General features: G+C 47.2%; 2 protein-coding genes and 1 non-coding gene across 8 annotated transcripts in view, besides 1 other annotated feature; all 3 read left to right on the top strand.

Moving 5' to 3' along the window:
* Window positions 1-382: 382 nt before the first annotated feature.
* Window positions 383-7,631, top strand: CFAP141 (cilia and flagella associated protein 141). The gene is made up of 4 exons (NM_001010979.3): window positions 383-441; window positions 1,078-1,118; window positions 6,128-6,257; window positions 7,188-7,631. Exons 1-4 carry the CDS (start codon window positions 409-411, stop codon window positions 7,287-7,289), a joined length of 306 nt encoding a protein of 101 aa, NP_001010979.1. The 5' UTR covers window positions 383-408; the 3' UTR covers window positions 7,290-7,631.
* Window positions 9,078-9,307: a silencer, noted in NCBI's record as "fragment chr1:154169885-154170114 (GRCh37/hg19 assembly coordinates)". NCBI's record gives its function as "represses an EF-1alpha promoter that drives an FKBP-Casp9 reporter gene in an ReSE screen in K562 erythroleukemia cells {active_cell/tissue: K562}" and the evidence as "EXISTENCE:reporter gene assay evidence [ECO:0000049][PMID:32094911]".
* MIR190B (microRNA 190b) lies at window positions 12,973-13,051 on the top strand. Its single transcript, NR_030600.1, has one exon. It is a non-coding gene; the product is annotated as a microRNA 190b (primary transcript).
* TPM3 (tropomyosin 3) overlaps window positions 14,616-15,794 on the top strand; it is a 36,793-nt gene continuing 35,614 nt past the window's right edge. For 5 of the 6 annotated variants that reach the window (NM_001364679.2, NM_001364681.2, NM_001364680.2 and 2 more), the window contains exons 1-2: window positions 14,616-14,814; window positions 15,405-15,530. In NM_001364679.2, coding sequence (NP_001351608.1) covers window positions 14,698-14,814; window positions 15,405-15,530 — 243 coding nt within the window. In that variant the 5' untranslated portion in view covers window positions 14,616-14,697. Of the gene's footprint in view, window positions 14,815-14,982; window positions 15,088-15,404; window positions 15,531-15,794 lie in introns of all 6 variants that reach the window. The other variant, NR_103460.2, reaches the window with a different exon arrangement.

Here is a 15,794-nt window from a genome sequence, read left to right as displayed (position 1 = left end):
TGAATCAGTCCTTTATAGTTGTCTTTTAATAAAACAGGCATTTGATAATGTTATCTGCACATTTCTAACAGGGTATAGGGCATGAGGATTTGCCTCCAGAGAATTGGTGGGACTGTGTGCATACCCTGGACCTACGACCATACACATACTCCTTGGGACCCTAGCACAAGAAATCCTAAAATCAGGACTGTGGCCCTTGCTCATAGATGCCTGTGTCACCAACAGAAGGCTGCAGAACAAGGATTCTCTCAAGGTTTCTGGGGCAACAGGCCAGGTGGCCAATCAACTCCTAGGCCCAGGGTTATTGTTGGAGGTGTAAATGTTACTATGACTACTGAAACCTTGGTTACTGAACTAAACAGAGGAGCCTGTCAGTCTCCTCAGACTGTATCAAGCAAATCTATAGACATGTCTGTGGAAAAGATGACAAAAGTAGAAGAGGTATGCAGAGTTGGAAGGAGGGGCTGGGTTGAAGTTTGATGAAGTTTCCAGATCAATTTACTATAAGTGCATCTTTTACTGGGAAAGGCTTTTGATGTAACAAGGGTATAATGTAGTTAGTAACAGGAGTGGGAGGCTGTGTCTAGTACACAGTAGGTATTCAAATATGTGTTCTATCCAACCCCTGCGTGTTTTCTTTGATCCATTCTGAAAGTAGAGCTTTCCTCTCCCTATTTCCCCCCAGGAAATTGCTTTCTCAAAAAGGTCTATGTGGCTGGGTGCGGTGACTCACGCCTGTAATCCTATCACTTTGGGAGGCTGAGGTGGGCGGATCACCTGAGGTCAGGAGTTCGAGACTAGCCTGACCAACATGGAGAAACCCCATCTCTACTAAAAATACAAAATTAGCCCGGCATGGTGGTGCATTCCTATAATCTCAGCTACTCGGAGGCTGAGGCAGGAGAATCGCTTGAACCCGGGAGGCGGAGATTGCGGTGAGCCGAGATCACGCCACTGCACTCTGGCCTGGGCAACAAGAGCAAAACTCTGTCTCAAAAAAAAAAAAGGTCTATGTCTCTCATTAGAATAGAGGTTCTGGAGACTGAGGCAGATCAACAGAACTACCTTTTCTTGCAGAGTTTTCAAAAGGCCATGGGACTTAAGAAGACGGTCGACAGGTAATCTGCTTCTATCCCCTCCCTTTACCTTTGAGCTTGACCTTTCCACTCTGCTGTCTTCCCTGAGCCACCTCCCAACTCTGCTGCATCTCTTTAGGGGCTCATCAAGAGGAAAACAGATGCGGAAGGGGTGAGAAGCAGCCTTGTCCTCAAAGCAAATGAGATCAGCCTCTTAGTGCCTACTAGGTTAGGTGATATAGATTGGTTTTTATTGTCCCCTGCCTCATTCTCTGGAGAAAAATTGAAGCATGTTTTTATTTTCTTTTTTTATCAAGAATTCAAGTATTTGTTGCCTGGCTTTGTACTAATTATGTGGTTGGTAGTGCAGTATTTGTTGAACCAGTGAATGAGAAGATTCACAAGACTGGGCTACGTATCCTTTTCACCCTGATGAACTTTTGAAAAAACTGATGCAGCCGGGCGCGGTGGCTCACGCCTGTAATCCTAGCACTTTGGGAGGCTGAGGCAGGAGGATTGCCTGAGCTCAGGAGTTCAAGACCAGCCTAGGCAACATGGTGAAACCCTGTCTCTACTAAAATACAAAAGAAGTTAGCCAGGCATGGTAGTGTGCGCCTGTAGTCCCAGCTACTCGGGAGGCTGAGGCAGGAGAATTGCTTGAACTTAGGATGCGGAGGGTGCAGTGAGCCAAGATCGCACCACTGCACTCCAGCACTCCAGCCTGGGTGACAGAGCAAGACTCCGTCTCTACAAAAAAAAAAAAAAAAACACTGATGCAAGCCTGGCATGGTGGTTCACACCTATAATCCCAGCACCTTGGGAGGCCGAGGCAGGGGGATTGCTTGAGCCCAGGAGCTCGAGACCAGCCTGGGCAACATAGGAAAACCCTGTCTCTACCAAAAAAATTAAAATTAGCTAGGTGTGGTGGTGCATGCCTGTAGTCTCAGCCACTCAGGAGACTGAAGCAGGAGGATCAGTTGAGCTCAGGTCAAGTGATGCCACCACTGCATTCTAGCCTGGGTGAGAGAGGAAAACCCTGTCTCAAAACAAAACAAAATGAGCTGGGCACATTGGCTCATGTCTGTAATCCCAGCACTTTGGGAGGGCAAGGCAGGTGGATTGCTTGAGCTCAGGAGTTCGAGACCAGCCTGGGCAACATGGCAAGACCCCCATCTCTACCAAAAAACTTAATTTAAATAAATAAATAAGCACTGATGCCTAGTTCTTAACCCTAGGAGATTCTGATAAAAGTGGTCTGAAATGGGATAGGAGAAGCCTTTTTTTAAGGTTTCACGGGTTATATCCAGAGCTAGCAAGGATGTGAAGAAACAAGAACATATATGATTTTAATAGGAGTCTAGGTTGATACAGCCATGTTTACAAAGGCAGTTTGATAAAATCTATCAAAATTTAAATTTACATATCCATTGAACTGGCAAAAATAGGAATTTATCTTAAATATACATACTTGGAAAAGCACTAGAAGGTACATACACAAGAATGTTCATGACTATTGCTTTTATTTATTTATTTATTTATTTATTTATTGAGATGGAGTTTCGCTCTTGTTGCCCATGCTGGAGTGCAGTAGCACGATCTCAGCTCGCTGCAACCTCCGCCTCCTGGGTCTAAGCAATTCTCCTGCCTCAGCCTCCTGAGTAGTTGGGATTACAGGTGCCCGCCACCACACCTGGCTAATTTTTGTATTTTCAGTAGAGTCGGAGTTTCACCACGTTGGGGTTTCGCCATGTTGGCCAGGCTGTTCTCAAACCCCTGACCTCAAGTAATCGGCCTGCCTTGGCCTCCCAAAGTGCTGGAATTATAGGCGTGAGCCACCACGCCCGGCCTGATTACATGTTTTTTAAAAAAGAAGATGTACTTCCCAGTTTATGATAGAAACATTTTCTGAAAACATTCACAAGTAGCTGGGTGTGGTGGCTCATACTTGTAATCCCAGCACTTTGGGAGACCAAGGCAGAGGATCACTTGAGTGCAGGAGTTTGAGACCAGCCTGGGTAACAGTGAGACTCCGTCTCTACAAAAAAATAAAAATTAGCCAGGCACACACCTGTTGTCCTGGCTATTTAGACAGCTGAGGTAGAAGGATTGCTTGAGCCTAAGAGGTTGACATTGTAGTGATCCATAATCACACACTGCACTCCAGCCTAGGCAACAGAATGAGACCCTGTCTCAAAAAAATATATATGCAAAAGTTACCTGGGCGTGGTGGCACACGCCTATAATCCCAGCTACCCAGGAGGCTGAGGCAGAAGAATTGCTTGAACCTGGGAGGCAGAGGTTGCAGTAACCAGAGATCGCACCACTGCACTCCAGCCTGGGCAACAGAGCAGGACTCTGACTCAGAAAAAAAAAAAAGTAAAAACTACAGTCATTCCCAACAAAGTATATATATATATATATATATATATATATATATATATATATATATATATATATATATATATATTTGCCCAGTCAGAGATAACAACTTTTTTTTTTTTTTGAGGCAGAGTCTCTCTAAGACAGAGTCTTACTCCACCACCCAGGCTAGAGTGCAGTGGTGCAATCTCGGCTCACTGCAGCCTCCACCTCCTGGGTTCAAGTGATTCTCGTGCCCCAGCCTCCTGGGGAGCTGGGATTACAGGTGTGTGGCACCACGCTCGGCTAATTTTTGTATTTTTAGTAGAGATGGGGTTTCACCATGTTGGCCAGACTGGTCTTGAACTCCTGGCCTCAAGTGATCTGCCCGCCTCAGCCTCCCGAAGTGCTGGGATTACAGGCATGAGCCATTGCACCCAGAAAGTTTTTACTTTTCACTTAATGTATTTTTTTTTTCCTTGGGACGGAGTCTTGCTCTGTCGCCCAGGCTGGAGTGCAGTGGCACCATCTTGGCTCACTGCAAGCTCTGTCTCCTGGGTTCACGCCATTCTTCTGCCTCAGCCTCCCGAGTAGCTGGGACTACAGGCACCCGCCACTGCGCCCAGCTAATTTTTTTATATTTTTAGTAGAGACGGGGTTTCACCGTGTTAGTGAGGATGGTCTCGATCTCCTGACCTCGTGATCTGCCCGCCTGGGCCTCCCAAAGTGCTGGGATTACAGGCATGAGTCACCGCGGCCGGCCTCACTTAATGTATTTCTGTGTAGATTCAATTTTTTCAACATGTGGAAAATGTACTTTTGATTTTTTAAAAATGCCAACAGTAGATATATGTACATGCATGATGTATATTTATATTCTTTCTATATATTAAAAAACTTAAAACTGGCCTGGCATGGTGGCTCACTCCTGTAATCCCAGCACTTTGGGAGGCTGAGGCAGGCTGATCACTTGAGGTCTGGAGTTCGAGACCAGCCTGGCCAACATGGCAAAACCCCACCTCTACTAAAAATTTAAAAATTAGCAGCCAGGCATGGTGGCTTACGCCTGTAATCCCAGCACTTTGGGAGACTGAGACAGGTGGATTACATGAGGTCAGGAGTTCAAGACCAGCCTGGCCAACATGGTGAAACCTCTGTCTCTACTAAAAATATGAAAATTAGCTGGGCGTGGTGGCATGCACCAATAATCCCAGCTACTCAGGAGTCTGAGGCAGGAGAATTGCTTGAGCCCAGGAGACAGAGGCTGTAATGAACCCAGATTGCGCCACTGCACTCCAGCCTGGCTGACACAGTGAGACTCTGTCTCCAAAAAAAAAAAAAAAATTACCTGGGCGTGGTGGTGGGCGCCTGTAATCCCAGCTACTCAGGAGGATGAGGCATGAGAATTGCTTGAACCTGGGAGGCAGAGGTTGCAGTGAGCCAAGATCGGGCCATTGCACTCTGGCCTGGGCGACTGAGCGAGACTATTTCTCAAAAAAAAAAATTAAAACTTCAATGAAGATTCCAGTCTAGCCAGGGCTGAGAATCACTAGTATGAGGGAAGGGATATTAACTTTAGAGAAATTGGATTTGGGGCCAGGCGCGGTGGCTCATACCTGTAATCCCAGCACTTTGGGATGCTGAGTCAGGCGGATCACCTGAGGTCAGGAGTTCGACACCAGCGTGGCCAACACGGTGAAACCTCGTCTCTACTAAAAATACAAAAATTAGCCAGGTGTGGTGGCACATGCCTGTAGTCCCAGCGACTCAGGAGGCTGAGGCAGGAGGATCACTTGAACCCTGGAGGCAGAGATTGCAGTGAGCCAAGATTGCCTCACTGCACTCCAGCCTGGGTGACAGAGTGAGACTCTGTCTAAAAAAAAAAAAAAAAGCTGGATTTGAGTCCCAGGTCTGCCATTAAGTGACCTTGGGCATCTCACAACTTTTAGTTTCCTTACCTGTATCATGTAAAAATTAATGCCTATGGGCCAGGCGCGGTGGCGCATGCCTGTAATCCCAGCTACTCAAGAGGCTGAGGCAGGAGAATCACTTGAACCCGGGAAGTGGAGGTTGCAGTGAGCCGAGATCACACCATTGCACTCTAGCCTGGGCAACAAGAGCAAAACTCTGTCTCAAAATAAATAAATAAATAAATAAAATAACACCTATGCCACATAGTTACTGTAATGATTAAATGATATTATGTACTTAATACATACTAGGTTCTAAATTACCCTTTTAAGGATTTTACAGTCTTCTAACAGTGGGGCAGAGGTTCCAGGTGAAGAAACAGTCTTGGGCCAGGCGTGGTGGCTCACACCTATAATCCCAGCACTCTGGGAAGCCGAGGCAGGTGGATCACCTGAGGTCAGGAGTTCGAGACCAGCCTGACCAATATGGTGAAACCCTATCTCTACTAAAAATACAAAAAATTAGCTGGGCATGGTGCCAGGCACCTGTAATCCCAGCTACTTGGGAAGCTAAGGCAGGAGAATCACTTGAACCTGGGAGGCAGAGGTTGCAGTGAGCCAAGATTGCACCACTGTACACCAGCCTGGGCAACAAGAGTGAAACTCTGTCTCAAAAAAAAAGAAAAGAAAAAGAAAAAAGAAACAGCCTCACTCTATGGGTTTTTTGTCTCTACTCCTAACTCTAACCCACCCATTCAACCCCCACCTCTGTACCTGGAGCAGGTGGCGAAATTCACATACTCACTGTCTGTGGCAAATGGCATTGGGCCAGAGAAGAAACCCGTATGCCACCCTAAGGATGCAGGACACCATGGTACAGGAATTGGCACTGGCCAAAAAGCAACTACTAATGGTGAGTTCTAGCAGGGCAACCTGAAGTCTCATTCACTACTGCTGTGTGCCTTTGCCCATTGAGTTTTCCAAGCTCTTAGTGTGTGTCATTGCACATTTATCTTGTTTGCCTCTAGGTTTTCAGCATTACACCAGAGCAACACAACTCTAACTCCATTGCCAAAACTCTTTTTCATTAAGTGATTCTTTGCATCCACCTTACAGGCGGCAGGCACATGTTAAAGTCCCAAAGTATACTCTAGTTCCTGCTCCTTTCATCTTGGTGAGACTCAAAACTGCCTCTTAGATCGGGTGTGGTGGCTCAGGCCTGTAATCCCAGCACTTTGGGGGGCCAAGACGGGCAGATCGCTTGAGCCCAGGAGTTCAAGACCAGCTTGACCAACATGCCAAAACCACCTCTCTACTAAAAACACAAAAATTGGCCGGGCATGGTGGCACTTGCCTATAATCCCAGCTACTTGGGAGGCCGAGGCACGAGAATCACTTGAAACGAGGGCAGAGGTTGCAGTGAGCTGAAATTGTGCCACTGCACTCCAGCCTGGGCTACAACGTAAGACTTGGTCTCAAAAAAACAAAAAACAAAAAAAACTGCCTCTTAGTGCGTATCACTTGCCTCTCGGTACCTCTCTCTCTCCCGGGGTCCCCACTTGGTGCCATGTAACCATCTTTGTATCCCAGTTACTTAGTAGAGTTCCTGTTTCATGGTCTGTTCTCAGCAAATATTTGCTGAACATAGGGCTTTGCCTGTGGAGAAAAAAATTGGATAGGCTTCCCTCTGCTGGTTCAGCCTCTCTGCTACCACCCAGCTTTATGTCACAGCTAAGTCCAGCTCCAAGAGAACACAAATAATGGGAAAACAACTAGGAAGAAAGAATAAGAAAGGGTGGTAAACAGAGGCAAACAACACACTCTATTCTGCCCTCTCCACCAGGTCCGTCAAGCTGCCCTGCACCAGCTGTTTGAAAAGGAGCATCAGCAGTACCAGCAGGAACTAAATCAGATGGGCAAAGCTTTTTATGTAGAGAGATTCTGATGGCATCCAAAACACTGCTCTTCCATTCTCAACATGCCTGCTAACCTAGCCTTCTAGAACCTCTACCACCTTGAACCTCCTTCCCAAAACATACCTGGATCTTGCTATCTGTCAGGGACTTAAGACAGCACTTCCACTCTCACTTCTCCACTCTCTCGTTAATCCTTTGCCGCTATTTGGGAAACAATCTATGAAACAACAGTAACAACAAGAGTGACGCCTTGTGGTCATAGTGGGATTTACTATGTTGATGTAAGGGGGCAGGGGTGGGGAGGGGTGGACAATGAGAGTTGAGAATCCTGATTTGGTATAACAAATAAATTTACTTCCTAAAGGCTCAAACTTAGACCACTGGGCTCATTCTTTCATGTCTAAATCTTGATTTGTTTCAAAAGTGCTTATTTTTCAGCTACTGTAATCTTAACCTCCTGGATTTCACTTGCCATCTCTCAGATATCACTTTCACTTATCTTTTATTTATATTTGGACAAATTGTTCTGAATGTGGCTATTAATCTACAGACACCGTAGTGCTTGAGTGAGGAGGCCTGCATTTTGGGTTTTGAGTCAGCTAGTTATTGTGAAACTTTGGACAAGTCTCTTTCCACTGGGCCTGAATTCCCACCTATGCCAAGAGAGAGGATTCCAAACTTAAATGTCTCCAGGGGTCAGGCAGGTAATGTTACAGTTGTAAGGAAATAAGGAGTGGTGGGATTTGTAGGGGGCTGGAAAGAGCAGTCAAAATAAAGGCACTCAAAATTCTGAAAAATACTGAAAAGTACTGATTGACCATGTGCATCATATGAAGGCCATAGACAACTTTACTTACAAGGGTTCACTTTACAGGCTGGGTGAGGTGGCTCACACCTGTAATCCCAGCACTTTGGGAGGCTGAGACAGGTGGATCACCTGAGGTCAGGAGTTCAAGACCAGCCTGGCCAACCATGGCCAAAATGGTGAAACCCCATCTCTACTAAAAATACAAAAAATTAGCCTGGCATGGTGGCAGGCACTTGTAATCCCAGCTACTCAGGAGGCTGAGGCAGGAGAATTGCTTGAACCCAGGAGGCGGAGATTGCAGTGAGCTGAGATCATGTCATTGAACTCTAGCCTGGGTGACAGCAAGACTCCGTCTCAAAAATAAAAAGGGTCCACTTTACATGTGAATGACATCCCAAGCCAGAGAGACCCCCATTTCACAGCCAGTGACAGCTGTAGGAATACACCATGAGTCCCTGAATACACTCCCTGAACACACCATCGCTCCCTGATGTAAATGCCATTATACATTACTTTGTCCTGTGCTCTCACCTTGCCGTTGGCATCCTCACTGGTCACTCATCCTGTCCACATGATATTTTCCTGACCTCAACTCTATGTGCCTTTGTCTCCACTGCAAAACTCATACCCTTCCCTCCAACCAAGTCTGTCTCCATCCTTCAGTCTCCTACTGAATCCCCCATTTTTCTTCTAGCTGTCAGAGCTTCTTCCTCTGCCCCTACACATCCCACTGATCAAGAGGCAGTAGAGTATAAAAATAAGAGCACAGGCTTTGAAGTCAGGTGTGGGTTCAAATTCTGGCTTCACCTCTTTAATTCTTGTGTCATCATATGGAAGTAATTTAGCTTAACTGGCCTCAATTTCCTCTTCTAGGCTGGGCGTGGTGGCTCATGCCTATAATCCCAGCACTTTGGGAGGCCGAGGCAGGTGGATCACTTGAGGTCAGGTATTCAAGACCAGCCTGCCCAATGTGGTGAAACGCTGGCTCTACTGAAAATACAAAAATTAGCCAGGTGTGGTGGCAGGCCCCTGTAATCCCAGCTACTTGGGAGGCTGAGGCAGGGGAATTGCTTAAACCCAGAAGGCGGAGGTTGCAGCGAGCCGAGATTGTGCCATTGCGCTCCAGCCTGGGTGGCAGAGCAAGACTCCATCTCAAAAAAAAAAAAAAAAAAAAAAATTTCCTCTTTTGAAAATTAGGACAATACCCATCTCATAGGCTCATTTGAAGAATTAAGTAAGATAATGTATAAGCCCAGTGCTTGGCACACAGTAGGTATCCTCCATGTTCTCCCTCAGGAGATTTCTCTGTGACCCAGGTCCTCCAGAGGTTGCTTGCTGACCTCTAGGCCAGCCCTCTTATCCAATCAAATATCATTCTCCACCCATGCCCATTCCTCTGTCTGTGCTACATATCCGATATTCAACCCCCAACTCCCATCACCTCTGCTTCCCAAACCCTCTTATCTTTAGTCAATAACTACTCATGAGTGCTTACACACCAGATGACGTGGAATTCACAGCCTAGTTGAAGAGGCAGGCACTGAACAAGTAACGACAAGTATGGTGTAAGTTTTATAGGAGACAAAACATGTGACCTGGATCTGACCCAGAAACCTGAGACTGAGTCGCTCATTCCTTCTGTCTGCCTGTGTCCTCCCCGGCCCTCTATTTTCTGAAGCTTCATCTCACCTTCGCTTTTTTTTTTTTTTTTTTTTGAGACGGAGTCTCGCTCTGTCACCCAGGCTGGAGTGCAGTGGTGCAATCTCGGCTCACTGCAACCTCCCCCTCCCGGGTTCAAGCGATTCTCCTGTCTCAGCCTCCTGGGTAGCTAGGACTATAGGTGCCCACCACCACGCTCGGCTAATTTTTGTATTTTTAGTAGAGATGGGGTTTCAGCATATTGGCCTGGCTGGTCTTGAATTTCTGACATTGTGATCCGCTCACCTCAGTCTCCCAGAGTGTTGGGACTACAGGGATGAGCCACCGCACCCAGCCTTTTTTTTTTTTTTTTTGAGACAGTCTCGCTCCATTGCCCAGGCTGGAGTGCACTGGTACAATCATGGCTCACTGCAGCTTCGACCTCCTGGGCTCAAGCAATACCCCCTCCTCAGCCTCCTGAGTAGCTGGGACCACAGGCACATGCCACCATATCTGGCTTTTTTTTTTTTTTTTTTTTTTTTTTTTGTAGAGATGGGGGTCTCACTGTGTTGCTCAGGCTGGTCTCGAACCCTTGGGCTTAAGCAGTCTCTGCCTTGGCCTCCCAAAGTGCTAGGATTATAGGCATGAGCCAAATAGCCAGCTGCTCCTTCACTTTTTTTTTTTTTTTTTTTAGACGGAATCTCTCTTGTCACTCAGGCTGGAGTGCAGTGGCGCGATCTTGACTCACTGCGACCTCTGCCTCCCGGGTTCAAGTGATTCTTCTGCCTCAGCCTCCCAAGTAGCTGGAACTACAGGCACCTGCCACCACACCTGGCTAATTTTTTTGTATTTTTAGTAGAGACAGGGTTTCACTATGTTGGCCAGGCTGGTCTCAAACTCCTGACCACATGATCTGCCTGCCTCGGCCTCCCAAAGTGCTGGGATTACAGGCGTGAGCCACCACACCCGGACTGCACCTTCACTTTTTAAATCTTCCCCCATATTTGTCTCCCAGGCCGCTTATTGCTTCTTTTACACAGGCAGTATATTTTGGCGTTAGGAGAACAGGCTTTAACACTGGACAGATCTGGGTTTCAGTGCTGGCTCTGTCACTGACTGTGTGGCCTTGTGCAAATTATTTTAATTTTCTGGGTTACAGTTCTTTATGCTGTATGTAAAAAGGGAGATAATGCCTAATTCATTGGGTTGCTGTGGGGATTAAATAAAGCACTTAGCAGCAAGTAGCACAAAATGTCCAATAAATGGTAACCCATAATGATGTTTTCTTGCTCCTATGATAGTTTTTTTCCTTCATTCCTTTCCATTACATGGGCTCCCCTTACCTCCAACCAGACTCCCTCACCAACTCCTTCTATTTTGCTATTCTTCTTTCCTCTGTTCATCTGAACCCACAGAATGCCCCATCCCCTCTGCCTTGATCCCTGACCTTGGCCTCTTCCCCCAGGGCTTGTCAGTGCCAGGCTGGCTCCAGTATTGGCAGGTTGGCCCCCTACAGAGCCCATCTCTTCTGATCCTCTCTATCTATTCTGTCTGCTCTCATAACATCACCCCATCATACCCATTCAGCCCCTCTTCCCTCTGTGGCGAATGCTATAACCAGCTCCTCTGGCTCAGAGGGGCTCAGTCCTGTTTGAAATGGCTACATAGTAGATATTTCCAGGAGAGCTAAACGGCTTGTATCAAAGGCCATCTGATGTTTCTGCCTAGGTATGCCATACAAACTCTCCTTCCAAGACAGCTGCTTCTCCCCTGCATCCATATTCCCAGTCTGCCTCTCTGTTCCTCTAGTGCCCCAAACATTAAAGTCCTTTCATTCCTGCTAGTCTCTTTCCCAGCCTCTCTTCCTCCAGCTTCTGATTCTTGAATGTGGGTAAGCTTCTCAGAGAAGGGAACTAGAACTTGAGGGGTTAAGGGTAAGAAGGGAGAGCAAGAAAGTACAAATTACATACACATCCCCTTTAGGAGCCAAAAAGGAACAAAGACATAAGACAACATCACAGATGCCTACCTTGGGGCCTGTATATGCCGATTTGTTAGTCTTCCCCTGAAAGGCAAGAGCCACACAACAGGAATTGACTGGGGCTTGGGACAAGCTATTGATCTAGATCAAGGACACTGTGGAGTTGGTATATGCTGGGGTTTGGGGTGGGTGTCTGGAATGGGAACAAGGACACATGGAACAGGCCTAGGGGCTGAAGCAGAGTGTCCTCCTCCCACCCCCACACTTCCACTCAAGCCCCCCAGCCCCCAATGCAGCTATAACTTGGGCTCTTTTCTGCCACAGTGGAGAGAAGCATCTGCCTGCCACATGACATTCAACAGACCTGATTCTCTCCAAAAGAGAAATTTCCCATGTGGGAATCCGGCTGGATCCCTGTGAGGGAAGACCCTTGGAGAACGCAGCCTGGAGTTCTGGTAAAAAGCCCTAGAAGAGGAGAGGACTCCTGTGGACTGCAGGCTGCTTCCTGGCAGAAGTTTCCTCTCTTACCCTCAGTCTAAAGCCTTAGTTTCAATTCTGCCAGGCAAGGTGGGGAACTATAAGTCTTCTCTTCTGGAGCCCACGATGGAGCCTGCCAGGGAGACAAGTTATTCTTCTGTTCTGGACATCCAAGGGTGACTTTAAGGAGGATGCCTGGAGGACATGGGGAGAAGGTGAGAAGGGTTAAGCTGGCAGAAAGGGGAAGCCAAGCATCTGCAGCACTTAAGAGCAGGACGGTGCCAGGATGGTGCCTCCTGAACGGACCTCAGTAGTCTTGTGGGGGTGATCTGGGAAGGTTAGGAGTTCTGTTGGAAAGGTAAAGCAGGGTGTACAAGTCCTCTGCCCCCACCCCGGAAAGCCTCAGGGCAGCTGGAATGGCATTGAAGAGAGCAGGTGGCAATTTTGATGAGGAGCTGCTGACACGGCTGATCCTCTGGGCGCTGGGGCCGTGACATCAGGGTGAGAAGCTCTGTGTGGGAGCTCTAGGGAACGATAGTTGCCCGGATGTGGAGCCCTGCCAGGTATTCTTCCTGGTTTAGGCCAACGTGATCCAGCAAAGGCCAGGAGCTTGTAGAGGAGGAGCTGAGGCAGGGATGACACGTAGGACAATAAGCAAGAGCTGGCTGTCTTGGGAGGTGAAGAGCAGGAGCCAGTACCCTTCCTCAAGGAGATGGCTCTCCACCTAGACATGATTGGTGCCTGGTGTCTGCTCTATTCTTTCTTTGCAACTGGAAGGAAGGCAGATGACCCCCAAAGCTCTCCTGCCTGCTTCTGTGTGATATGTTTGATATTGGGTTGTTTAATTAGGAACCAACTAAATGTCAAACATATTCTTACAGCAGCAGGTGATTCAGCACCACCCTCTTTCATACTTCAATCTCTGGGGCTCCTGTCTCTTTTACTGAACCTCTTCTCTCCAGGACCCCCCCAAAAGTCCAGTAGCTGCAACCTATGTGCATTTCAATCTTAACCTAAGAGGGCTGGTGTGGGAATGGGAGAGAGTTGGAATTTGAGGATAGAATCTTTCTATTTCTTGTCCCCTTATACTAGAAGGGACATTTCTTTGCCTTTTCTTGTCCTCGTATTTTTCTCCCCCTTATTCACTTGCCCACCCCCCCCCCATTTTCCACTCCTTCCTCTCCCTGTTCCCTAACCCCTTTCCCTGGCTAATCTCCAGAGAAAGGAGACTTGGTTTCTCCTCTCTCTGTCGAGAGTCAGCTGATGGTCTATCTGCCTATCTACCTCTAGTGACTGGAAGCTCTCAATAGTGGACTCCAGCTCTGCTCTACCCACTGGCCTGGTGGGTGTCTCCGTTCCCCCATTGCTGGGGCTTAGCATTAACTCTCAGTATCCTGACATAAATGACTAACTAGAGCCATTTATATTTGTCCAATATATCTGGTCACCTTGAACAGTGCCCACCTCTCCCTTGGCATATTTTCAGGTGTATGGTGCCAGTGGACTGGTATCCTTGCCACCTGTTAGTAACAAGGCTCCCAATGGAAGAATAAACATGGTCTGGAACTAAACTGGAAAGAATAGAGCTGATAATGATGATTACGATGATGTGGTGAGTGGCAGCGTTGGGGAGAATTAAGAAGGGAGAAGATAAAGGGAAGAAGAGGAGAGAGCCACACAGACCAAAGTCTGTGTGGGTACAACAGTTCTATTTTAAGATTACTGTGGGAAAACAAAGGGTATGATCCTGTCTGGATTGTTCTGACCCTCCCCTGTTTCTCTCCCCACCCCACTTGAAGCTCTGGGATAGCCTTCAAGGATAGGGTTGGAGATTCCAACCCTACCTCTTACTCTACTCTTGTGGCTCTTGGTGGGGAGGAAAAACGTCTCCCTGCCAATCGGAGACTCCCAGAATAGCACAGCAATTTGATCTGGGGATCTGGGAGAATTGTTAAGGATCATGAGTGACCTCCCCTCTTCCCTGTGCCCAAGCTCCTTGAATACCAGGAATCAAAAGCTAAAACTCAACTAACGGAGTTTGACCAGCATTCAACACAGTCTGGGGGAGAGTGAAACGGGAAGCTGAAAGGCAACCAGGACCCCCTGGATGCAAACTGCCAACCTAGAATTGCCAAAGTACACTTCTCTATTTCAATGTTCTTCCCTCCCCTCTTCCTCTTCTTTTAAAACATCCATAGAGCTGCCCAGAATGAGTGGAAAGTTTCAGGGTCAGGGAGAACCTCTTCCCTCCCCCACTTTCCATTGTCTAAAATCAGCCTCAGCTGTTGCTAGATATTTTTTTTGCTGGTGATGTCAGTTCATCAAAGCGTCTCACCCTGTGTTCCCCCAGGAGAACAATGATGGGGTGGAGGGAGCTGGAAAGACCATATTAGGAACAAAAGGTGGAGCTATGAGCACAGATAAAGACTCAAGTCTGGGGACCTCCTGGTCACTCAGGCAGCAGCCCCTTCTTTCTTGCCCCAGTCTCCAGTTCTCCAGTGTTCACAGGTGAGCCTACCAACAGCCACTGCTCATGATGGAGGCCATCAAGAAAAAGATGCAGATGCTGAAGTTAGACAAGGAGAATGCTCTGGATCGGGCAGAGCAAGCTGAAGCTGAGCAGAAGCAGGCAGAAGAAAGAAGTAAACAGGTAGGCACTGGCATTGATCTCTCTCATCTGCTAGTGAACAAGACTGTGAAATGGAAGGGAGTTTTCATGGGAAAGACAGTGACTACTGGTGTCACCTCCTTTTTGGGGGTGGGATGGACTCCCCAGCCTCACTGGAGGAGCAGAGGATATCTAACATATCTGTCTCAGACTGCCTTTGTGACCTTGGGAAAGTCAGTGAGCCACAGTATGTCTGCTGAATTTAAGTAGAAATGGACCATGTTTTGGAAGAACCCTTGACTTCTAGAGGAAAAGGTAAGAGTTCTAGAGGGAAAGAGCATCTCTTTTCACTCAAATAGCATCACGGGCATCTACACTTTAGATATTTATCATCCAGGGGTCTTGGATGAAAACCCAGGATGGCTTGGTCATCTTAGGATCAGAGATTACAGGGTCACAGGCCAAGCTACGGCATAACTCCTGAGGCAGTGGGCTGGAAGTGGCTGGGGAGAAAGTGTGTCTCACTAGGGATGGTAACATGGAGGTTACACTCAGGGCTCCAAGAGCCCAGGGTCCAACCCTGCATTGTTGTGTTTGTGTGTTTTTGTGTGTGACTCTCTGGGCTCCTATAGCTGGAGGATGAGCTGGCAGCCATGCAGAAGAAGCTGAAAGGGACAGAGGATGAGCTGGACAAGTATTCTGAAGCTTTGAAGGATGCCCAGGAGAAGCTGGAACTGGCAGAGAAGAAGGCTGCTGATGTGAGTATTAGAGAGATGGAGGATGGGTTTAATCTACACATATAGATCTTTATGTTAATGTATGACGAAATTCCAAACACACTTGTGGGTTCATGGAACACAGACATATATACTCACATACATTTTTGCATATAACCACATGCTGGTATATTCTCATAATGGCATGTATTTTCTTTCTTAAAGACATCTCCAACATGTTAAAAGTTTTTTTTTAATACATGTAAAGGTCTCATTTATCTCCTATCACCAACCCAGGAATTTAAT

The sequence above is a fragment of the Homo sapiens genome, chromosome 1 (assembly GCF_000001405.40).
Source record: "Homo sapiens chromosome 1, GRCh38.p14 Primary Assembly".
Taxonomy (NCBI): domain Eukaryota; kingdom Metazoa; phylum Chordata; class Mammalia; order Primates; family Hominidae; genus Homo; species Homo sapiens.
This window is presented reverse-complemented; position numbering and strand designations above follow the sequence as displayed.